General features: G+C 54.8%; 1 protein-coding gene and 2 long non-coding RNA genes across 8 annotated transcripts, besides 11 other annotated features; 2 read left to right on the forward strand and 1 right to left on the reverse strand.

The window, feature by feature from the left end:
• Window positions 1,631-2,314: an enhancer, noted in NCBI's record as "H3K27ac-H3K4me1 hESC enhancer chr16:3154929-3155612 (GRCh37/hg19 assembly coordinates)". NCBI's record gives its function as "activates a minimal SCP1, AML or CMV promoter by ChIP-STARR-seq in naive H9 embryonic stem cells {active_cell/tissue: H9 hESC(naive)}" and the evidence as "EXISTENCE:reporter gene assay evidence [ECO:0000049][PMID:30033119]".
• Window positions 2,315-2,998: an enhancer, noted in NCBI's record as "H3K27ac-H3K4me1 hESC enhancer chr16:3155613-3156296 (GRCh37/hg19 assembly coordinates)". NCBI's record gives its function as "activates a minimal SCP1, AML or CMV promoter by ChIP-STARR-seq in naive H9 embryonic stem cells {active_cell/tissue: H9 hESC(naive)}" and the evidence as "EXISTENCE:reporter gene assay evidence [ECO:0000049][PMID:30033119]".
• Window positions 2,315-3,020: a biological region, named in NCBI's record as "H3K27ac-H3K4me1 hESC enhancer GRCh37_chr16:3155613-3156296".
• Window positions 2,691-2,740: a silencer, noted in NCBI's record as "silent region_7115". NCBI's record gives its function as "represses an Ori minimal core promoter by ATAC-STARR-seq in GM12878 lymphoblastoid cells {active_cell/tissue: GM12878}" and the evidence as "EXISTENCE:reporter gene assay evidence [ECO:0000049][PMID:35858748]".
• Window positions 2,941-3,020: a silencer, noted in NCBI's record as "silent region_7116". NCBI's record gives its function as "represses an Ori minimal core promoter by ATAC-STARR-seq in GM12878 lymphoblastoid cells {active_cell/tissue: GM12878}" and the evidence as "EXISTENCE:reporter gene assay evidence [ECO:0000049][PMID:35858748]".
• Window positions 3,091-3,200: a silencer, noted in NCBI's record as "silent region_7117". NCBI's record gives its function as "represses an Ori minimal core promoter by ATAC-STARR-seq in GM12878 lymphoblastoid cells {active_cell/tissue: GM12878}" and the evidence as "EXISTENCE:reporter gene assay evidence [ECO:0000049][PMID:35858748]".
• Window positions 3,301-3,510: a silencer, noted in NCBI's record as "silent region_7118". NCBI's record gives its function as "represses an Ori minimal core promoter by ATAC-STARR-seq in GM12878 lymphoblastoid cells {active_cell/tissue: GM12878}" and the evidence as "EXISTENCE:reporter gene assay evidence [ECO:0000049][PMID:35858748]".
• On the forward strand, window positions 3,465-6,282 carry LOC124903629 (uncharacterized). Its single transcript, XR_007064948.1, has 2 exons — window positions 3,465-5,034; window positions 6,128-6,282. It is a non-coding gene; the product is annotated as an uncharacterized LOC124903629 (long non-coding RNA).
• Window positions 6,283-7,162: 880 nt separating this feature from the next.
• On the reverse strand, window positions 7,163-12,301 carry ZNF205-AS1 (ZNF205 antisense RNA 1). 2 transcript variants are annotated; one of them, NR_024167.1, is made up of 3 exons: window positions 11,671-12,301; window positions 11,498-11,585; window positions 7,163-7,657 (listed from the first exon to the last, which is right to left on the reverse strand). It is a non-coding gene; the product is annotated as a ZNF205 antisense RNA 1 (long non-coding RNA). The 2 variants fall into 2 exon arrangements; NR_024166.1 differs by having other exon boundaries at window positions 11,498-11,590.
• Window positions 9,289-17,220, forward strand: ZNF205 (zinc finger protein 205). 5 transcript variants are annotated; one of them, NM_001278158.2, is made up of 7 exons: window positions 9,289-9,653; window positions 10,052-10,190; window positions 12,058-12,271; window positions 12,532-12,623; window positions 13,130-13,250; window positions 15,608-15,718; window positions 15,959-17,220. In NM_001278158.2, the coding sequence occupies exons 2-7, from the start codon at window positions 10,134-10,136 to the stop codon at window positions 17,026-17,028; spliced, it is 1,665 nt and encodes a 554-aa protein (NP_001265087.1). In that variant the 5' UTR covers window positions 9,289-9,653; window positions 10,052-10,133; the 3' UTR covers window positions 17,029-17,220. The 5 variants fall into 5 exon arrangements, with proteins under 5 accessions (NP_001265087.1, XP_005255615.1, XP_047290557.1 ...); XM_005255558.3 differs by having other exon boundaries at window positions 10,120-10,190; XM_047434601.1 differs by having other exon boundaries at window positions 9,289-9,579; window positions 10,120-10,190.
• Window positions 10,224-10,812: an enhancer, noted in NCBI's record as "H3K4me1 hESC enhancer chr16:3163522-3164110 (GRCh37/hg19 assembly coordinates)". NCBI's record gives its function as "activates a minimal SCP1, AML or CMV promoter by ChIP-STARR-seq in naive H9 embryonic stem cells {active_cell/tissue: H9 hESC(naive)}" and the evidence as "EXISTENCE:reporter gene assay evidence [ECO:0000049][PMID:30033119]".
• Window positions 20,980-21,249: a silencer, noted in NCBI's record as "fragment chr16:3174278-3174547 (GRCh37/hg19 assembly coordinates)". NCBI's record gives its function as "represses an EF-1alpha promoter that drives an FKBP-Casp9 reporter gene in an ReSE screen in HepG2 liver carcinoma cells {active_cell/tissue: HepG2}" and the evidence as "EXISTENCE:reporter gene assay evidence [ECO:0000049][PMID:32094911]".
• Window positions 20,980-21,539: a biological region, named in NCBI's record as "ReSE screen-validated silencer GRCh37_chr16:3174278-3174547".
• Window positions 21,060-21,539: an enhancer, noted in NCBI's record as "active region_10302". NCBI's record gives its function as "activates an Ori minimal core promoter by ATAC-STARR-seq in GM12878 lymphoblastoid cells {active_cell/tissue: GM12878}" and the evidence as "EXISTENCE:reporter gene assay evidence [ECO:0000049][PMID:35858748]".

A 22,007-nucleotide genomic window follows, 5' to 3' on the forward strand; every position in this document is an offset into this window, starting at 1 on the left:
TTGAACCTACATCCATCGTTTGTCCTGGGGGTGGTCCCAGCATGGCTTGTTCAGGACCGTCTTGGCCCTGCTCTGAGACCCCTATAAGGAGTGAGGCCCTTCTAACTGGTTATGCATCTTAGTTTTCTTACTGCAAGGTGGTGCCAAAGCATATGATTCTGAATAACTCCCAGCATAAGCCAGGTGCAATGGCTCACATCTGTAGTCCCAGCTCCATGGCAGGCTGAGGCATTGGCTCACTTGAGCCCAGGAGTTGGAGGCCAGACTGAGCAACATATCAAGACTCTGTTTCTAAAAAGAAAAAACAAACATACAACATAAAATATTTGCATGTCAGTTCCTTCTCAAAGGACCTTGAACTTTCTGCTTTGTGATTCTCTCTGAAAGCTCTATTGCCAGTAGCAATCTTCAACGTGATTGCTTAAAGAGTGGCAATACATCGGTTTTTAGTATTTACATATTATTGATTCCAGCAAGACCTGCAGAGAGTTCCCTGTTTGGGGCATTCCCCTTTGCAAGTGCAGAATCGTGTACTGCAGGGAAAGCCAGGGCACTGGGCACCCCCAAGACATAATAGAGTTTCCACAGCGCCAACTGCTTGTAGGATGCTCATTTGGGCAATTCTGCTATTACTTAGAAATATACTATTAAGAAGGAAGTAGGGCTGGGTACAGTGGCCCACACCTGTAATCCCAGCACTTGGAGAGGCGGAAAAATCGCTTGAGCCCAGGAGTTTGAGACCAGCCTGGGCAACATAGTGAGACCTTGTCACTACAGAAATTTTTGAAAAATTAGCTGGGTGGCCGGGCGCAGTGGCTCACGCCTGTAATCCCATCAGTTTGGGAGGCCGAGGCGGGTGGATCACCTGAGGTCAGGAGTTCAAGACCAGCCTGGCCAACCTGGTGAAACCCCATCTCTACTAAAAATACAAAAATTAGCTGGGCGTGGTGGTGTGTGCCTGTAATCCCAGCTACTTGGGGGGCTGAGGCAGTAGAATCACTTGAACCTGGGAGGCAGAGGTTGCAGTGAGCCGAGACTGCACTACTGCACTCCAGCCTGGGTGACAGAGTGAGACTCCATTTCAAAATAATAATAATAAGAAGAATAAAATAAAAATAAATAAATGAAAACATGCCCCATCATTAACTTTTTTTTGTTTTGTTCAGCATTCCTGTCCTTCCGGGCACTACTAGATTCTCCAGGCTCATCTCTCACATTTCTTACCAGAGTCCTAGAATTGGCCATTTATCGAAGGAGCCCTGGTTCTCATCCTTAATTGGTTTCTTTAAAAAAAAAAAAAAAGTATAAAGCGTTTACAAAAACAGAATTTTATTTATTTAGAGACGGAGTTTTGCTCTTGTTGCCCAGGCTGGAGTGCAATGGCGTGATCTTGGCTCACTGCAACCTCTGCCTCCCGGATTCAAGCAATTCTCCTGCCTCATCCTCCGGAGTAGCTGGGATTACAGGCATGTGCCACGACGCCTGGCTAATTTTGTATTTTTTTTTTTTAATAGAGATGGGGTTTCTCCACGTTGGTCAGGCTGGTCTCAAACTCCTAAACTTAGATGATCTGCCCGCCTTGGCCTCCCAAAGTGCTGGGATTACAGGCATGAGCCACCGTGCCCGGCCACAAAAACACAATTTTTAAAAGAACGAGATGGAAGCATGGAAGTTCTACATTTTTGACACCCAATAGAGTGAGAAGAATGTGATAGGGATTCGTGGGAAAGAATGGAGAGGCCAGGGGTGGTGGCTCACGCCTGTAACTACAGGCATGCACCTGTAGTTCCAGCTACTGGGGAGGCCAAGGCTCGAGAATCACTTGAAACCAGGAGGCAGAGGTTGCAGTAGGCCAAGCTCGCACCACTGCTCTCCAGCCTGGGCGACAGAGTGAGACTCTGTCTCAAAACAAACAAACAAACAAATACCCATCTCTACTAATACAAAAATTAGCGGGCATGTTGGCATTTGCCTGTAGTCCCAGCTACTGGTGGGCTTAGGCAGAAGGATCACCTGAGCCTGGGAAGTCAAGGCTGCCATGAGCTGTGATCATGCCACTGCACTTCAGCCTGTCTCAAAACAAACAAACAGGCCGGACGTGGTGGCTCACGCTTGTAATCCCAGCATTTTGGGAGGCCAAGGTGGCCAGATCACGAGGTCAGGAGATCGAGACCATCCTGGCCAACATGGTGAAATCACATCTCTTCTAAAAATACAAAAATTATCCGGGTGTGGTGGCGCGTGCCTGCAGTCCCAGCTACTCGAGAGGCTGAGGCAGGAGAATCGCTTGAACCTGGGAGGCGGAGGCTGCAGTGAGCTGAGATTGGGCACTACACTCCAGCCTGGGCGACAGACCAAGACTCTGTCTGGAAAACAAAAGAAAACAAAACAAAAGAAGCACCTGGTGTTGTTGCCTAGGGATGCTCTTCCTGTCCTCCCGGGGTTTGTTCAAGACGGGAATAGGCTGTTTTTCCCAACTGTGAGAGGCAGGCTGCCCAGGCTGAGATTTGTGAGCCAGGTTTAGGCCAGAAGCCTGGGGCTGAGGACACTCCTGCGGGAGCGTGAGGATAGCCTCTCTTCCCGCCCTATTTGCAAGCTCAGATGTCTGTTCATTCACTAGAAAGCCACCAAGGCTCCATGGTAGTAGCTGTTGGGGTGGTTCCTGTTACTGCAAGGCAAGGGTGTCAAGACGTGGGTGGTGAGCAGAAGCCTGGTTAAGGAAATTGTAACAGACTCATACAAGAGAATGCTACCTAGTTTAAAAAAAAAAAAAAAGAGCAAGGCAACGATGCATTTTTTTTCTATTTTTCTCCTTTTCTCTATGTTTTTTATTTTGAACAATCTCTAAGATATATGTCACCCACACAGAGGGGGCAAGACCCAGGTAGACCATATAGTATAGTCCCATTTTTTAAACAAAACCAAACACCCAAAGCAGGGGAGTGTGAGGCCGACCCTCGGCCGGGGAGGCTGGACCCGGGCGCCCGGGCGGGGGTTGGCGCCTCATGGATCGGGATCCTCGCCCGGGAGGGTGGACTCTCCCTTCATTAAGACCCCCAGGTCCCAGGCATGGAGGAGGCCTCGGCGCTTCCCCGTGGAGGCCTTCGACCAGGCAGCCTCAGTTTCCCCACGGGCGAAAGCCGACTCGAGGGTGGGGTGCCCTCGCCCCGCCTGCTCCTCACGGCGATTGCCCCCGCGCCCCGGGCTGGACAGGTGGGGCGCCGCGAAAAGGCCCGGCAAGCCGGAAGTTGCAATGGGGCAGCCGGACGCAAAACGCGGGGACACCGGCCGGGGTCCGCCAAGCTAGGGTGAGCTGCCGATCGGGGACGCGAACGGGAGCGCGCAGGTGAGGGCGGCGGGGCGGGGCTGGGGCGGGGGCGGGGCCACTGAGGCTGCGGCCAATCACCGGCGCCTCCCGTGGGCGGGGCGGGGCCGTTGCTTGGGCGACAGGCTCCAGCGTCTGCGTTCTGTGAACCTAGCCGCTGGGCTGTGCGGACAGGTTCGCGTGGGGCTCCTGGGCCTCCCGCAGCCGCGTAGGTTTCGGGAACCGGGTCGCCTCCCTGCCTCCGGATTCTCACGCGCTGGTGTCCGGTGGCCCTGGGAAATCTTTTCTTTTAACAATGTGTATTCCTTGGGTCCTACCTATCTAACACTTCTGCTGGTTTCTTTTTCTTCTCTTTTAGAGTTCAATATTTGCTCTGCTCTTTTTTGTTGTTTGTTTGTTTGAGACGGAGTCTCACACTGTCGCCCTGGCTGGAGTGCGGTGGCGCGATCTCGGCTCACTGCAACCTCCGCCTCCCGGGTTCAAGCGATTCTCCTGCCTCAGCCTCCCAAGTAGCTAGGATTGCAGGCGCCCGCCAGAACGCCCAGCTAATTTTTGTATTTTTAGTAGAGATGGAGTTTCACTATGTTGGCCAGGCTGGTCTCAAACTCCTGACCTCGTGATCCGCCCGCCGCGGCCTCCCAAAGTGCTGGGATTACAGGTGTGAGCCACCGCGCCGACCTGCTCTGGTCTTTATTATTCTTATTTTTCTTTACCTTGCTCAGTTCCCTTGTTTTCCCCTATCGTCGTCTCCTTCCTTCCTTCCTAAGGCTGGCTACATCTCCCTGTCTCCAACCTGGCTTAGCCACCTTAATTAGCACCAATTATTTTGTTCTTACTTCAGATGGGTCTTTTTTTCCCTAGTTTTTGTTATTCCTTAAGTCTTGACTTAACTGTCAGGTCGATCTCTGAGAGCAGATCATGATTTATTTATTGAAGGAGGAGTCCTCTCCTTACTCAGGGTCAGTGAAGCCGCCAGCTACAGGAGTTGGCATTTATTATTTACCATGCTCGAAGCTCTGCTAAGCGGCTTTGTGCATTATAGTCAATTCTTTCTTTCCTTCCATTTTTTTTTTTTTTTTTTGAGACGGAGTTTAGCTCTTGTTGTTCAGGCTGGAGTGCAATGAATGGCACCATCTCGGCTCACCACAACCTCCGTCTCCTGGGTTCAAGCAATTCTCCTGCCTCAGCCTCCCGAGTAACTGGGATTACAGGCGTGCACCACCATGCCCGGCTAATTTTTGTATTTTTAGTAGAGACGCGGTTTCTCCATTTTGGTCAGGCTGGTCTCAAACTCCTGACCTCAGGTGATCCGCCCGCCTCGGCCTCCCAAAGTGCTGGGATTACAGGCGTGAGCCACTGTGCCTGGCCCCAATTATAGTCAATTCTTTTTTTTTTTTTTTTTTTTTTTGAGATGGAGTTTCACTCTTGTTGCCCAGGCTGGAGTGCAATGGCGTGATCTCGGCTCACCGCAACCTCTGCCTCCCAGGTTCAAGCGATTCTCCTGCCTCAGCCTCCCTAGTAGCTGGGATTACAGGCATGTGCCACCACACCCGGCTAATTTTGTATTTTTAGTAGAGATGGGGTTTCTCCATGTTGGTCAGGCTGGTCTCGAACTCCCTACCTCAGGTGATCCGCCAGCCTTGACCTCCCAAAGTGCTGGGATTACAGGCATGAGCCACCGCGCCCGGCCTATAGTCAGTTACTGAGAGGTAAGTACGTCCCTACACAGATGACCTGTGAGTTGAATGCAGACAGCAGGTGTGTTCTGCTGACTTGTATGGAATTCTTTTTTTTTTTTTTTTTTTTTTTTTGAGGCGGAGTCTGGCTCCGCCCCCCAGGCTGGAGTGCAGTGACGGTATCTCGGCTCACTGCAAGCTCCCCTTCCCGGGTTCACGCCATTCTCCTGCCTCATCCTCCGGAGTAGCTGGGACTACAGGCGCCCGCCACCACGCCCGGCTAATTTTTTTTGTATTTTTAGTAGAGACGGGGTTTCACAGTATTAGCCAGGATGGTCTCTATCTCCTGACCTCGTGATCCGCCCGTCTCCGCCTCCCAAAGTGCTGGGATTACAGGCGTGAGCCACCGCGCCCGGCTGGAATTCTTAAATTTTAAAACTTTGTCATCAATTTAAAAGTCAGGAGGTCACAGAGGAATCGAATTGTTTTTTGGCTTCTCTTCAAGGATTTCTCAAAGGCCTCTGAAGTCCCTTCTCCCTCCCGTCTTACTCCCAAGCCATTGGTCCCGTATGTAAGCTGGTGGCTGGAGGCATTTAAGTTTTTTGTTTTTAAATAGAGTTGGGGGCCGGGCGCAGTGGCTCAAGCCTGTAATCCCAGCACTTTGGGAGGCCGAGGCGGGTGGATCACGAGGTCAAGAGATCGAGACCAGGAGTTTGAGACCAGCCTGGCCAACATAGTGAAACTGCATCTCTACTAAACATACAAAAATTAGCTGGGCGTTGTGGCGGGCGCCTGTAGTCCCAGCTACTCAGGAGGCTGAGCCAGGAGAATGGCGTGAATCCGGGAGGCGGAGCTTGCAGTGAGCTGAGATTGTGCCACTGCACTCCAGCCTGGGCGACAGAGCAAGACTCCGTCTCAAAACAAATAAATAAATAAATAGAGTTGGGGTCTCATTATGTTGCTGAGGCTGGTCTGGAACTCCTGGGCTCAAGCCATCAGCTCACCTTGGCCTCCCAAAGTGCTGGGATTACAGGCACGAGGCACTGCACCCAGCCCCGTTTAAGTTTTTAATGTCTGCTCTACTTACTGACTCACCCTGCCCTGACGCCTTTCGGTGCTCTTTTAGGGGTTGCTGTTGCCACATGGCGACTGTGGTCACCGTCTCTCCTGGACCTGCCTAGATCCAAAAGCCAGCCCTGGAAGGAACACCTCTCATTCTCAAGAAGAAGTTAATGTCTGCCTTACAGTAGATGTCCAATAAATCTTCTTTGAACAATTAAACAGATGCTCAGACTTCATTTGACCTAATTTAGGTGATCCTATGGAGGGATCCAAACCTTTGGACTCCCCCAGTATCCCTGAAGTGGCCTCTTTTGCTGGTAGAGAAACTTTTGCCCAAGAGTCGGGACACATCGACACATCCACTTTTGGGGGGGCTTGGTGCACTCCTGGGACAGTGTGGGGTGAAAGGGTCCCTTTCAGGAGTGAATTCCCTGACCCTGGACACTCAGCTCTCCTCCTGGTTGGCAGAGTGAAGAGTGTCATGATTTCCAGGACCCCTCCCCGCTTCAGCTTTCAGTTCATCGCTCACTCTGGCTTGAAAACAGTACTGACTTGTTAAGTTGCATGTCTCTCTTCGCCTTGAGGCTTAAAACACCTAGAAGCCGGGTGTGGTGGCTCGCACCTGTGGTCCCAGCTACTGAGCAGGCTGAGGCGGGAGACTTGCTTGAAGCCAGGAGTCCGAGACCAGCCTGGGTGATATAGCGAGACCACATCTCTAAAAAATCAAAAACAAAAACAGAACACCTGGCCAGGCACAGTGGCTCAGCCTATAATCCCAGCACTTTGGGAGGCAGAGGTGGGTGGATTGCTTGAACCCAGGAGTTCGAGACCAGCCTGGCCAACATGATGAAACCCTGTCTCTACTAAACATACAAAAATTAGCTGGCCGCGGTGGCACACTCCTGTAATCCCAGCTACCTGGGAGGCTGAGACAGAAGAATCGTTTGAACCCAGGAGGTGGGGGTTGGAATGAGCCGAAATGGTGCCATTGCACTTCAGCCTGGATGACAGAGCGAGACTCTGTCTCAGAAAAACAAAAACAAAACAAAACAACAACAAAATCCCAAAACCAGAACACCTGGAAAACACCAGACACAAATCCCAGGAGTAATTTTTCTTTCATCAAATTGACAATAGCATCAATCAGAATCCCAGGACTCCTAAAACATGTTTAACTCCAAAAGCAGAGTTGCAAACTCAAATGCTACAGGGGCCAAGCAGGCACTGTGGCCACCTAGAAAGTGGACCCTGAAGGTGGGGAAGGTGGGTCCAGCATCGGTAAATGTTCTAATTTTTTTTAAAGAATCAATTTTATAGGCTGGGCGCGGTGGCTCACGCCTGTAATCCCAGCATTTTAGGAGGCTGAGGTGGGCGGATCACCTGAGGTCAGGAGTTCCAGACCAGCCTGACCGACATGGAGAAACCCCATCTCTACTAAAAACACAAAATTAGCCAGGTGTGGTGGCACATGCCTGTAATCCCAGGTAATCAGGAGGCTGAGGCAGGAGAATCGCTTGAACCCAGGAGGCGGAGGTTGGGGTGAGCTGAGATTGCGCCATTGCACTCCAGCATGGGAAGAAGAGCGAAACTCCGTCTAAAAAAATAAAAGAATCAGTTTTATGAGTGTCAATTTTTTAATGTTAGAAACTAAGTTAAAAAAAAAACAAAATTAGCTGGGCGCGGTGGCTCACGCCTGTAATCCCAGCACTTTGGGAGGCCAAGGCAGGTGGATCACTCAAGGTCAGGAGTTCGAGACCAGACTAGCCAACACGGTGAAACCCCGTCTCTACTGAAAATACAAAAATTAGCCCGGCATGGTGATGGGCACCTGTAATCTCAAATACTTGGGAAGCTGAGGCAGGAGAATCACTTGAACCAGGGAGGTGGAGGTTGCAGTGAGCCAAGACCACGCCATTGCACTCCAGTCTGGGCCACAGAGTGAGACTTCATTTCAAAAAAAAAAAAAAAAAAATTAAACCCTCTGGGCATGATGGCTCACACCTGTAATCCCAGCACTTTGGGAGGTGGGAGGATTGCTTGAGATCAGGAGTTCAAGACCATCCTGGGTAACAAAGCAAGACCCCCATCTCTACAAAAAAATTTAAAAAATTAGCCAGGCATGGTGGCATGCGCCTGTGGCCCCAGCTACTTGGGAGGTTGAGGTGAATTGCTTGAGTCCAGGAGGTTGAGGGTACAGTGAGCTATGATCGTGCCACTGCACTTCAGCCTGGGTAACAGAGCAAGACCCTGTCTCAAATAAGTAAATAAATAAACAAACAAACCCTTAAAAGCCCACACAACATAGCACGAGCTGGTACAGAGGCAGCTGGGCCCATCTTACTGTGTGAAGCTGTGCACCTCAGGGGATTCTGGTGAGCCAAAGACAGTGGCATGGGGACGTTTCCTAGGGAAACTTCCTGGAATCTGATTCCAGGACTGGGCCCCTGGCCCTTTTCCTGACACCCAGCCCCCATGCCTGCCCAAGAGAAATGGTTCCTTCCCCCAGAAAGTAAAGCACAGTCTCTGTCCTCTCTATTTGAGGCCTTACTTCTCAGGGTCTAAAGGGAAATGGTGCCTGAGAGGCAGAATCTGCAGCTGCCAGGCGTGTTTGAGAACTTAGAACCCCATTTATAGCTGGATCACACCCTCTATCCCCAAGCTGAAATGGGCCTGGAAGAATCGGATTAACCAACTTCTTCCCAAGGTGTGGGGCATCCGGATTGGGGGGAGTTCCCAGCCTGTTTCCCAAGTTCACTCTTAGGGAGAGAGTTCTGTGCCAGTCTTGGGGGGACCCAGAGGGCCCTTGACTAGGAGTCCCTAAATGAATTCAGGGTCCCTCAGGAGACAATAACCTTCAGAAACCCCGAGTGCTAAAATAAATGGTCCTGCCCTCTCCACCCTGCAAAATGCCCTTCTTTCTACCTGTGAGGACAACTGCAGTGCTCGCTTTGAAATTTCAAATAACACAATCTTTCCACAAAATGCATCTTCCATTTTTCTGTTTTGGTGGCTCTGCCTTGCTGGCATCATGAACGCGTCCTGGGTAAAGCCATCCTCATGAGCTGGCATTGCGGCTCTGGGAGTCACCTCCCGGCCAAGAGCAGGTGCAACCCAGGCTCGAGACTCCACACCCGGAACCCTCAAAACCGGGAACGCTGTAGGGCTGCGGCTGCATGGGGAATGGGATCTGGGAGGGACTTCCTGTCTTCCCTACTCCCAGTCTCCACCCAACTCCCCCGCCCGCCCCGTGCAGGCTGTGGAGACTCCCTTCCCGGGGGAGGGGGCCCCCACTGCCGCAGGTGCCCCCTCTGCCTCCACCCCGGTGAGAAGGGGGTGCTGGGGAGGGCATCTGGATCCCGAGACCGGCGCAGATGATCAGCTTGCAGGAGGGGATGGGGTCAAAGGTGGAAGGCTTCAAGCTGGCAGGAGAGAAGGGGGCCAGGACCGGGTTTGGGAAGGAGAAGGACATTGTCTGCCAGGACCGAGAGCAGGATGGGCATCCCAGGCCTGGGGCAGGTGGTTGCAGCTGCAGGGGGGCTGCTGAGAGCGGGCAGGTTGATTTCTGAATTCCTGGTGGGCATGGGAGTCAGGTAGGGACACACGGTGTATGTCCTGGGGTCGGGGGACAGCAGGTCCTGGATTACCCTGGCCTTGACGGGCGGGGCCCCACCAGCACCTGTTCTGCAGGATCTCTGCAGAACTTTCTGCTCCTGATGACAGGAAATAGCGATTCCAATTTAGCCTCGGCTTTCCCTGAGCCGGTTACACTGAGATGCGAGGCTCTTGCTTCAGCAATAAAGGGGACAATACAAAATAGCATTCTTTCAAAAATAGGACCCAGAAAACATCACAGAGAGTGGGACCATCGGATAGGATCTGGGAGACTTTCTTTCCGATTGGGACCAGGGAGCGCTGGTACTCGTGGGGATTTTCAGGGCTCTTTGGGGGTGTCCAGGAAGCGAGGGCTGGTTTCTGTCTGCTCTTCTAGGCTCCTGGCCAGAAGCTGGAGGGGGCTTGGCCAAAAAGAGGGAGAAACAACTCAGCTGTTCTTTCTAGCTCTGAAATAGAAAATGTCTGCAGACGGCGGAGGCATCCAGGACACCCAGGACAAGGAGACACCCCCGGAGGTACAGATGGGGCTGGCTGAGGGAGGTGTGCGGTAGAAGAGGCTGGTGCGGAGGAGATTTTCAAGGCACAGAGTCTGGACCCCTGGAAGAGTTAGACTCACTGGGGTGGGGAGATCAAAGAGAAGGTGGCATGCTGGGTAGTACCCTCTGTCTGGAATTTACAGCATAACAGTTTTGCTTTGCTGGTGAATTCTCTAGCCAGTGGCCACAGGAGATGGAAGAGGTCTGGGTGGAGGTCCTATCAGTGAGGTTTTCTTTCTGAGCAGCGCTCAGAGCACACAGGGAAACCTGTTCTCCTTCCCCGTGCTTCTCCACCTGGAACCACAGCTTCTCATCTCTGTGGGTCTGAGCTCCCGGTCCTTTCTCCTTCCTGTACCTGCTACCCGTGTGTGTGTGCGTGCGTGGTTGAGTGTGTGTGTGTAATTACTATTTGTGGGGGACCTGGGTCTCCGGGCTTGGAGTTGGAGGAGTATGAGTCAGCGACAGGCCAGGGGCCAGTCCCTGGCCTCTGGGAACCAGATGTGTCATCTGTAAAATGCAGACCACATGCCTGCCATTTCCACCTGTCTCGCAGGGTCACTGGGAGGCTCTAAGGATAATAGGCATGAGACGCCATCATCTATGGTTTTCATGCCATAGAAGCACAAAGAATTGTTAGCATGGTTCAGTTTCCCATCCACTTCCCGTGTGCCTTGAACACCTTGGGCATGTCAGTAGAGCCCCACATGTTGGCATTCTCTGCTGGCACTGGCTTCTGTCTGGTGCGCACGGCGGGGGGGATTAATGACCAGCGCCACCCTGTGTTTATCCAGGACTTTCCTGAGCTGGCAGCTCCTTCTCCATCATTATCTGCGTGAACCTCATGACCATTCTGTGCAGGGGCAGAGCAGCTGCGTCCTGAAGGCTGCCTGATTGGGGAGGGGTGTCGCTGGGTCTGGCACCCAGGCACTCTGATTCCTGGCCTGAGGTTCTTTCCCTTCAAGACCCAAACACAGACAGGGCGTGGAGGAAGGAGTGTGAGACCCCAGCAGAAGTCCGGCCAGTTCCTGTGCTGTGGATGAGGCCCCACCAGGGCCCTCCCTGACTTTCCCAAAGCTTTTGAGCTATGTGGTCACGGGGCATTGTCTCATCCCCAGCCATGGTGTGTTAGTCTCCCGTGGCTGCTGTAACAAGTTTCCACTCTCTGGGGGGCTGAAAACAACCAGAATTGGCTCTCTCACAGTCCTGGAGGCCTGCAGTCCAAAATCTAGGTGTCAGCAGGGTCACACTCCTTTTGAAAGCTCTAGACTAAGAGGACCCTCCCTTACCTCTTCCAACTCCTTGGGGGCTCCTGGTGTCCTTGGTGTGGGCATCCCTCCAGTCTCTGCTTCCTTCTCTGTGTCTCTGTGTCCTCTCCTATTCTTATAAGGACATAAGTCATTGTTAGATTTTAGGCTCACTCTAAATTCACGATGATTTAATCTCAAGATCTTTAACTTACCTGTATAAAGACCCTTTTCCCCAATAAGGTCCCATTCTGAGGTCCAGGGAGGACACGGATTCTTAGAGGACACTATTCAAGCCACTACACTTGGTTTCTTCATACACTAATAGACAGCAGTCTACACTGCTGAGGTCAGTGTGAGGCTGGAGCTGAGAAGGGGTAGCTGCCCTTGGGCACCACGCCCACCGGCACTGTGGAGGCGGCTTGGTGAATATTCCTCCTCTTGCCGCCCGTCCTTGCTGGGGTGAGCTGGATGAATGCAGCAAGGACAGTCCTTCAAGCTGCGTCTTGCATGTTGGTTTCCGACGCTGCCGGAGCGCACTGCCATGTGGCCCTGGGTGTCTCTCCCACTCATCTGGGTGCTGATGGGGCTGTCCTTTCTAGGTTCCAGATCGTGGACATCCTCATCAGGAAATGCCTTCTAAGCTGGGGGAGGCGGTACCTTCAGGGGACACTCAGGAGTCACTGCACATTAAGATGGAGCCCGAAGAGCCACACTCCGAGGGGGCATCGCAGGAGGATGGGGCTCAAGGTGCCTGGGGCTGGGCACCCCTAAGTCACGGCTCTAAGGAGAAAGCTCTCTTCCTGCCTGGCGGAGGTAGGAGAGGGACGGGGAAGAGGCGCTTTCCCAGGGAGGCAGCTGTGGGGAGGTGGAGGTTTGGCCCAGGTCCAGGTGGGGCTGAGGGTCTCTATGCCAGCAGGGGACGCTATCCCCCCATGGCCCACAGCCCCCTGGCAGCGTCAGAGCCATCCGACCCTGTCCTTGGGTCGGGCCAGGGGTGGAGTTTGAGGCAGCTGAAGTAGCAGCAGGTCCAGCAGGATGAGCTGATCACCGTGAGGACCTCTCTCCTCCCACAGCCCTCCCCTCCCCCCGGATCCCCGTGCTTTCCCGAGAGGGGAGGACCAGAGACCGGCAGATGGCTGCAGCGCTCCTCACTGCCTGGTCCCAGGTGAGTGGCCCTTCCCCGGCCCCTGCATGGTACTCAGCCCTTCCTGCATCTGCTGGTTCTGTGTGAAAGCCAGGACCCCGCTGGCCCCACTTGCAGCCAAGCCTGAAGCCTGGGGCTCTTGCTAGTGTTGCTGGAATTGTCCAGGCTCAAGGCCCATGGTCAGGCCTGGGCCAAAGCTGGAGGAGAAGCAGCAGGAATTAGAGACACAGGGCCTCTCGCTGGTAGCCGTTGGGAACCGTCCTCCGAGGTCTCAGCTGAGGCTGGGGGCTGCATGGACATCCTAAGTCTTAACTGTGATCCCTGAAAATACCTCTTGGTCTTTGTTCTTTCTCAACTCCCCAGAAGGCCTTGGGTGGCTCACCTGCTTCCCGATCAGATGGAAGTGGCAGGCCTCACTCGACACAGTGGGTTGGGAGTCCGGGGTCTCACCACACATCTCATGCCATGGTGTCCCTCCACCGTGTCCACGTCATGTCCTGGAGAGTGGATGTTTCACATTGTTTCAGATGCCAGTGACTTTCGAGGATGTGGCCTTGTACCTCTCCCGGGAGGAGTGGGGACGGCTGGACCACACGCAGCAGAACTTCTACAGGGATGTCCTGCAGAAGAAAAATGGGCTGTCACTGGGTAAGCACTCGCCTGGAGGGGGGACTGGGGTGTTAGGGAGAGGTCCTGCTCTGCCGTCTCCTCTTTCCTCCCTTCCCTCCCTCTCTCTCCCACCCTTCTCCTTGTCCCTTGAGACAGCACTGTTCTATGGAAACTTCTGTAATGATGGAAATGTTCTGTGTGTGCTAGGACGGGAGCCACAAGCCATGTGTGGCTACTGAGCACTTGAAATGTGAGTAGAGCCCTTGAGTTTTTAATTTTACTTGGTTTTGTTTTGTTTTGTTTTGAGACGGAGTCTCGCTCTGTCACCCAGGCTGGAACACAGTGGCACGATCTCGGCTCACTGCAAGCTCCGCCTCCCGGGTTCATGCCATTCTCCTGCCTCAGCCTCCCAAGTAGCTGGGACTACAGGTGCCCACCACCACGCCCGGCTAATTTTTTGTATTTTTAGTAGAGATGGGGTTTCACCGTGTTAGCCAGGATGGTCTCGATCTCCTGAACTCGTGATCCACCTGCCTTGGCCTCCCAAAGTGCTGGGATTACAGGCGTGAGCCACCGCGCCCGGCCAATTTTACTTGGTTTTAATCAGCTCAAATGAGAGTTTAAATAGCCGCATATGGCTAGCAGCTACTGTACTGGACGCTGCCCCAGGAAGTCCGCTTTTCCTGGGTTCATCCGCAGGGCTCACTCCTATAGCTCCATCTTCCTTTCCAAGCCCCAACTTCAGAGGTGTCTGAGCAGCAAGCTTGGCTTCGGGGCCCGAGGGCTGCTTGCCCTGGAGAGAGATGGCATGAACTGAACTCCCCAGGCCCCGCAGACCCTTGGGTGTCCCATCTGCTTTGAGGAGCAGGTGCTTGTCTCCGAGGGGTCTTGGTTCCCTTTGTTTCTTGGATGTTAAGTATTTAAGTCCCAGAGCTTTTTTTTTTTTTTTTTTTTTTTTGAAACACAGCCTTGCTCTGTCACCCAGGCTGGAGTGCAGTGGCACCATCACGACTCATGCAGCCTCGACTTCCTGGGTTCAAGTGATCCTCCTGCCACAGCCTCCTGAGTAGCTGGGGCTACAGGTACCACCATGCCCAGCTATTTTTTTCTTTTTTTCTTTTTTTGGTAGAAATGGGATCTCGCTATGTTGCCCAGGTTGGTCTTGAGCTCCTGGGCTCAAGTCATCCTCCTGCTTTTGCCTCCCAAAGTGTTGGGATTATAGGCGTGAGCCACTGTGCCCAGCCATCCCAGAGCTTTTGACTCCTCAATTCCAGACTTTAGTTTTAATACGGAAAAATCAGTATTCATTTATTCATTTATTCATTCATTCAGTTGACGCTTAGCTTTTTTTTTTTTTTGAGACGGAGTCTTGCTCTGTCACCCAGGCTGGAGTGTAGTGGCGTGATCTCAGCTCACTGCAACCTCTGCCTCCTGGGTTCAAGTGATTCTGCTGCTTCAGCCTCCCAAATAGCTGGGGCTACAGGTGCCCACCACCATGCCCGGCTTTTTTTTTTTTTTTTTTTTTTTGTATTTTTAGTAGAGATGGGGTTTCACCATCTTGGCCAGGATGGTCTCGATCTCCTGACCTCGTGATCCGCCCACCTCGGCCTCCCAAAGTGCTGGAGGCATGAGCCACTGCGCCTGGCCAACACCCAGCTAGCACACTTGCTAGTCCAGGCAGAATCCAGGACTCAGCATTCCAGGTGGTGGCATCATGGTGGTCCCAAGGCCCCGCTGGCTGGCACCAGGGATGGTCACCCCTCAATTAGCTCAGGCTGCTCACCGCTCTTATGGTTCCCCAGTGCCTGGGCCAGCAAGCCCAGGCAAGTCCTGAGGGATCAGAAGGATCTCAACACCCATTTTCAGCACCACGGCAGGCCTCGCAGATGCCTCAAGCCACCCGGTTGGTCCAACACATTCCTTTCCTCCCACGGGTGGTGGAAGCCAGGGCCCCCTCTGCTCTCTTACTGACTTGACCAAAATTCCTGGGGCCACACCCCCCCAAGACTTGACAAATGGGATGACCTTAGTCGTTGGAGATCCTGGCCCTCCTGTCCCAGGTCCTCCCACTTGGAGGGCCACTACCCTTGCCCCTCCAGGTGTGGGTGTAGGAGCGGGATACCCGTCCCGTGGGCGTTGATGTAGGGTGTTGCCCACTCCCGTCCCTTAAACTCCGTTGCTCTTTCAGGGAAAGAGGAGACAGGCCTAGTCAGCTCTGGCAGCCGCCAGGCAGGGGGCGGACCCCCGACCCAGGGGGCCTTCTTGAAACTGCTTTATTTTACCCCCTGTTTCCAGAGCCTCACCCCCTACTTGGGCCCATCAGTTTTGGGGAGATGCTGTCTGCAGCTGGGCAGCGCCAGAAGGCCTGTGACAGCACAGCATCTCTTTCTGGGCAGGCTTTCCCTTCAGCAGGCCTTTCTGGGCCCCTCAAGCGCACGGCAAGGGTGAGGCCTCGGGCTCCAGCCGGCAGGCAGGAGATGAGAAGGAGTGGAGAGGCGCGTGCACAGGTGAGGGACGGGCGCGCGCCTTTGTCTGCGGGAGTGGGGCGCAGACGCAGGCCTTCTGGCTGTTGTCTGTGGGAGTGGGGCAGGGCCACCAGACCCCCTCCTGGGCGGTTTGCGCCCAGGGCGGCCCTTGCGCTTTCTGGTCTCTGAGAATCCAGCCCCCACCCTTAGCTCTGCCTTCTCCACCCTCCTGGGGTCCTTAGGGAAGCTCGTCCCTAGCTGGAAACGACTTTCTTTTTCCAGGAGCCGTCGAGGTGGGGCAGAGGGTGCAGACCTCATCCGTGGCAGCCCTTGGGAATGTGAAGCCCTTCAGAACCAGGGCAGGGAGAGTCCAGTGGGGCGTCCCGCAGTGCGCGCAGGAAGCAGCCTGCGGCCGGAGCTCAGGGCCGGCCAAAGACTCCGGGCAGCCGGCTGAGCCAGATCGCACCCCGGATGCAGCTCCGCCAGACCCCAGTCCCACGGAGCCCCAGGAGTACCGCGTCCCGGAGAAGCCCAACGAGGAGGAGAAGGGCGCCCCGGAGAGTGGCGAGGAGGGCCTGGCCCCTGACAGTGAGGTGGGCAGGAAGAGCTACCGGTGCGAGCAGTGCGGCAAGGGCTTCAGCTGGCACTCGCACCTGGTGACGCACCGGCGCACGCACACGGGCGAGAAGCCCTACGCCTGCACTGACTGCGGGAAGCGCTTCGGCCGCAGCTCGCACCTCATCCAGCACCAGATCATCCACACGGGCGAGAAGCCCTACACCTGCCCCGCCTGCCGGAAGAGCTTCAGCCACCACTCCACGCTGATTCAGCACCAGCGCATCCACACCGGAGAGAAGCCCTACGTGTGCGACCGCTGCGCCAAGCGCTTCACCCGCCGCTCGGACTTGGTCACCCACCAGGGCACCCACACGGGCGCCAAGCCGCACAAGTGCCCCATCTGCGCCAAGTGCTTCACGCAGAGCTCGGCGCTAGTCACCCACCAGCGCACCCACACTGGGGTCAAGCCCTATCCGTGCCCCGAGTGCGGCAAGTGCTTCAGCCAGCGTTCCAACCTCATCGCGCACAACCGCACACACACAGGCGAGAAGCCCTACCACTGCCTCGACTGCGGCAAGAGCTTCAGCCACAGCTCGCACCTCACCGCGCACCAGCGCACCCACCGTGGCGTGCGGCCCTACGCCTGCCCGTTGTGCGGCAAGAGCTTCAGCCGGCGCTCCAACCTGCACCGGCACGAGAAGATCCACACCACCGGGCCCAAGGCCCTGGCCATGCTGATGCTGGGGGCGGCGGCGGCGGGGGCTCTGGCCACACCCCCACCCGCTCCCACCTAGGAGGCCAGGAAAGGGGGAGCGGGGCGCCCAGGGCCACTGGAACAGCCCCACTGGAGTCAAGGCTCCGAGGGAGGAGAGAGGGGCTCGGGAAGGGAGCTGGGGCGGTGAGGGCATGGGGTGAGGCATGGCGATGGGGGAGGGCGAGGGCGAGAAAGGGCAGGCACTCTGCGAATTAAAGGCCTTGGACTTGAAGCGCCCGCCTACACAGCTTTGTCTCCTGGTGCCCTGGCGCTGATTCCCCGAGCGTGGGGGAGCTCCTGGGCTAATCCCCTGTCCTCATTGAGGCATCCCCGCATCACCACTCTTGGCTTGGGTCTCCACCAGGGTTGGGGTCCCTTTTGCCAAAGGCCCATTCCAAAGCGTTGCACACATTGGCAAGCAAAGGCTTCAAGTACAGAGAGGTTTCCAGGGCTGAAGCCAGTCAGCCGCTCCTGGACCTGGGGACCCCTTGCCGGCCGTCTGCTGCTGACGCCACTTGTCCCAAGGGCACTGCTTACTGAGCCCGCACTCTCCCTTGGCTCTTCTCTTTGGAAGCCAGGAGCAGGCAGAACTGGTCCGGAAATTCCTGCCTGCCCCATCTCCCACTCAGGCATCGGTGGCTGGGTTTTGTGACTGGCCTTTGCCATTTGCTCCCACCATGGCCTGCCTGTGGTCCTGCGAGGGCTCCTCACTCACCAGGGGCCACTTTCCTTCTTGGCCCATGCTGCAGCTGCTGTCACCTGCCTCTGCTATGTCTCACCTCCTTGGCCTCCTGGTATATGTCCTATATAATTCGCCCTGCTCGCCCCTGCCTGGCTCTGAGCTTTGATTTACTCCTGGTCTTTCCGCTGGCGTTTGTTTTTGTTTTTGCGACAGAGTCTTGCTCTGTCGCCCAGGCTGGAGTGCAGTGGCCTGATCTCCACTCACGGCAGCCTCCACCTCCTGGGTTCAAGTGATTCTGCTGCCTCAGCCTCCTGAGTAGCTGGGACTACAGGCGCACGCCACGATGCCTGGCTAATTTTTGTATTTTTAGTAGAGACAGGGTTTCACCATGTTAGCCAGGATGGTGTTGATCTCCTGACCTTGTGATCCACCCACCTCGGCCTCTCAAAGTGCTGGGATTACACACCTGAGCCACTGCGCCTGGCCCCCTGTTTTTGTTTGTTTTTTGTTTTGTTTTTTGAGGCAGAGTCTTGCTCTGTTGCCCAGGCTGGAGTGCAGAGGTGCGATCTTGGCTCACTGCAACCTCCAGCTCCTGGGTCCCAGCGATTTTCCTGCCTCAGTGTCCCGCGTAGCTGGGACTACAGGTGTGTGCCACATGCCTGGCTAATTTTTTGTATTTTTAGTGGAGACAGGGTTTCACCGTGTTGGCCAGGCTGGTATTGAACTCCTGACCCCAGGTGATCCGCCCACTTCGGCTTCCCAAAGTGCTGGGATTACAGGCGTGAGCCACCGTGCCTGACCTCTTTCCCTGGTTTTAACCTCTGTAGCTCCCAACTCCCATTCTCTGCTTTTTTCCCTGGGTGGGGATGGGCTCATCCTGCCTATCATCCCATATTTGTGGCCCAGCTCCCGAGATAACTTTCAGCTCTGACACCAACTGACCACGAGGATGTCTGCACCAAGAAGGCCCTTGAGACCCCACCTGTCTTTGTGGATTATGGGGCCACCAGGGTGGCCACAGCCCTGGTTGGCTCCCAGATCCTGAGGAAAAGAGTGGCTTGCTGAGGACGGTAGACTGAGAAGAGTAATCATAGCTGCCAGTTGTCAAGCAGCTGCTCTTCCAGGCACAGGGCCAAGCACTGTAGATACCGCTCTCTACAACAATGTAAGTGTGCATTGTTAGCCCAGGTTTTTTTTTGTTTTTTGTTTTTTTTTTTTTTGTCTTTTTAAAAATAGAGACGGGGTCTTGCTATGTTGCCCAGGCTGGTCTGGAACTCCTGGGCTCAAGTGATCCACTCACCTCAGCTTCCCAAGTAGCTGGGACTACTGGTGTACACTACTAGGCCCCATGCAGGGCTATCTAAAAAGAGGAGGACAAGGCCAGGCGCAGCGACTCACACCTGTAATCTCAGCACTTTGGGAAGCCTAGGTGGGTGGATCACTTGAGGCCAGGAGTTTAAGACCAGCCTGGCCAACATGGTGAAACCCTGTCTCTACTAAAAGTACAAAAATTAGCTGGGCATGGTGGCAGGCGCCTGTAGTTCCAGCGACTTGGGACGCTGAGGCAGGAGAATTGCTTGAAGCCAGGAGGTGGAGGTCACAGTGAGCTGAGATCTTGCCACTGCACTCCAGCCTGAATGATAGAGCAAGACTCTGTGTCAAAAAAAAAAAAAAAAAAAAAAAAAAGAGAGAGAGTAGGACAATAGACCTGACCTTCAGGAATGTTAGACTCAGCTAGAGATGTGGGTGGGGTGGGATGTAATCAACGGGACACCAGGGAGCTGCTCACTAGCGGAAGCCCAGGCAGGACTTGATGGTATCCAGGAGGTCTCTGGAATCTAGGCTAGGGATGCTGGCAGGATTGGTTGAATTAAATGATTATTTCCAAGGCCAGAAAAAAAGCTGTTTCCTCCCTTCAGTTTGTCTTCATGGTCCCAATCACTCAGCCAGAAATAGGATTGCTCTGCTTGGTTCAGTGTGAGGGGGTGAGGGAGACTCATTTGTAAAGCAGGGTTGCTCTCAAAAGAGCTCATTTTCTAAGTAAGGAGAGAGACAGAGGTGGGAGAGTTTCTAAAATGACCCTGGAAGCCGTCATCACTTGGCAAGAGAGCTGAGCAGAGTACTCACTTGCACAGTGAGTGCTGCTTGCTTTAATTTCAGTTCCTTAGGCTCCGTGGCCAGCGTGCCAGGGACCAGATGTCAGGACCTGAGTGATTCAGAGGTCTGTCAAGGCTTGGTGTGGTGGCTTACACCTGTGATCTGAGCACTTAGGGAGGCTGAGGCAGGAGGATGGCTTGAAGTCAGGAATTTGAGACCAGCTTGGGCAACACAGCAAGACCCTCGTCTCTAAATAGTTAAAAAAAATTAGCCAAGCATGGTGATGCGTGCCTGTAGTACCAGCTACTTGGGAGGCTAGGGTGGGAGGATCGCCTGAGCCTGGGAGGTTGAGGCTGCAGTGAACTGTGATCGCACCACTGCCCTCCAGCCTGGGCAACAGAGCAAGACCCTGTCTCCAAAAAAAAAAAAAAAAAAAAAAAAAAGACCGTTGAGTGATCTAGGGAGTCATTTAAAAACTTCACTCTGGCCTCCAGGGAGCCCAGACAGCAGACAGTTTCCTGGTGAAACGTTTCCCCTTTCGTGGCAGAGTGCAGGAGCACGGGTTCCAAGGGCCCCGTGGAGGGTGCCTGCAGATGGCCATTCCTTATGGCTGGCCCACTTCTCCCTCTAGGGATCCCTCCGGAGGCCCCACTGTGGGATAGATCTGGAAAGAGTATCTTAAGAGTGGAACTTGGCAGTTTCGGAAATATTCGACAAGCACAAATAAGACAGGGAGGAGTAGGGGCTGTGCCAGGGAAGGACCTGGAACGCCAGGCTGAAGGGTGCTCATAGTTTGGTAGGTGATGGGCGTCACTGAGAGGTAGGAGGCTGGAGGGAAGAAGCCAGGTAAGGGTCTTGGTGTCTCCCTGGGTAGAGGATGAGGAGGTTCAGCGGTTTCCCTGGCTTCCTCGGGGCTTCTCGGCCACTGGAGAACTCCACCAGATCATCACTGATGCGGTGTCAGGAGCACGGTGAGGGCGGAGGCGGAGAGGCAGGATGTATGCATCCTGGCTTCCCACCTGCTTCCCTGCGGCCCCAGGTTCCTGTTGCAAGCGCTCAGGGATCGGCTGTCGGCGCTGCCCCTCTGGGCCGGGGGCGTCGGCCTCAGCGCCGTCCTAGCCTAGGACACCGTCTCCCAGTTCCCGGGCCCGGCCGTGTAGCGAAGCCCAGAGCCTGCAGGGTCCCATGGACCCAGCCTCTCGCTCGGCGGCCCCGTCGCCGGCATGACTGAATCCAGGAGGCCACGCCCCCCTGCCCTTAGCCATTCAGGCATCGGGGCGGGGAGAAAGGCGGCTCCAGCAGAACCAGCCAATCACGGCTGAAGTTTGTGCCCGGCCCTTTTCCCCTCACCGCCACGCCCCAAGCCGCACGGTTGCCCCGGCAACTGCTCCAGGATCCTGTCTTTGAAGCATTTCGTCTTACCCTTCGCTGGGCGTTCGTTGCCGAACGAAGCGAAGACCACGGGGCTGGACCTTCGCTACAGACCTCAGTCCTCACAGCCCGCCCCGCCCAGCCACTGACTTCCTGGGTCTATCACCGAGATGCCGAGCCTCCTGCAGTCCTAGAGAGCATACGGCGCAGGGCCAGGGCCACTTCCGGCCCAGAGGACTCCCTGTCAATTTGCTGCAATGGCTCCTGCACCAGGGTTGGGTGGGTTCGCTGCACTGGCCGCGGAGCTAGAGCATCTTCCGAGCTCCCGAGCAGGGGCTGACGGTGCTGCCAGCTGTCGTGCGGTACGGCCGGCAGAGAGCGGCCAGGAAGGAGACCGTGCCCTCTTCCGGGGGAGCAGAAGAAACGCGCGGGCTGTGCGAGGCGGCTCGCGGCTCTGGAGTGCCTGAGGGGCAGAGGGCGGCAAACGTTAACTGTAGGGGCTTTGCTGCGTTCCTCACACATTCGTTTTTTTGTTTGTTTTTCGGAGATGGATTCGTGCTCTGTTGCCCAGGCTGGAGTGTAGTGGCGTGATCTCAGCTCACGGCAATCTCCACCTCCTGGTTCAAGCGATTCTTCCGCCTCAGCCTCCCGAGTAGCTGGGATTACAGGCGCCTGCCATCATGCCCGGCTAATTTTTGTATTTTTAGTAGAGATGGGGTTTCACTATGTTGGTCAGGCTGGTCTTGAACTCCTAACCTCGTGATCCGCCCGCTTCAGCCTCCCGAAGTGTTGGGATTACAGGCGTGAGCCACCGCGCCCAGCCAATTTTTGTATTTTTAATGGGGTTTCACCATGTTGGCCAGGCCGGT

Source organism: Homo sapiens, chromosome 16 (assembly GCF_000001405.40).
Source record: "Homo sapiens chromosome 16, GRCh38.p14 Primary Assembly".
NCBI classification, from domain to species: Eukaryota; Metazoa; Chordata; class Mammalia; order Primates; family Hominidae; genus Homo; species Homo sapiens.

Excerpts from the sequence above, each read along its gene's own strand:
- ZNF205 (NM_001278158.2), top strand. The coding sequence starts at position 10,134 with ATGTCTGCAGACGGCGGAGGCATCCAGGACACCCAGGACAAGGAGACA. Across the intron at positions 10,191-12,057 it reads ACAAGGAGACACCCCCGGAG|GTTCCAGATCGTGGACATCC; the intron begins GTACAGATGGGG and ends TGTCCTTTCTAG. Across the intron at positions 12,272-12,531 it reads TCTCTTCCTGCCTGGCGGAG|CCCTCCCCTCCCCCCGGATC; the intron begins GTAGGAGAGGGA and ends CTCCTCCCACAG.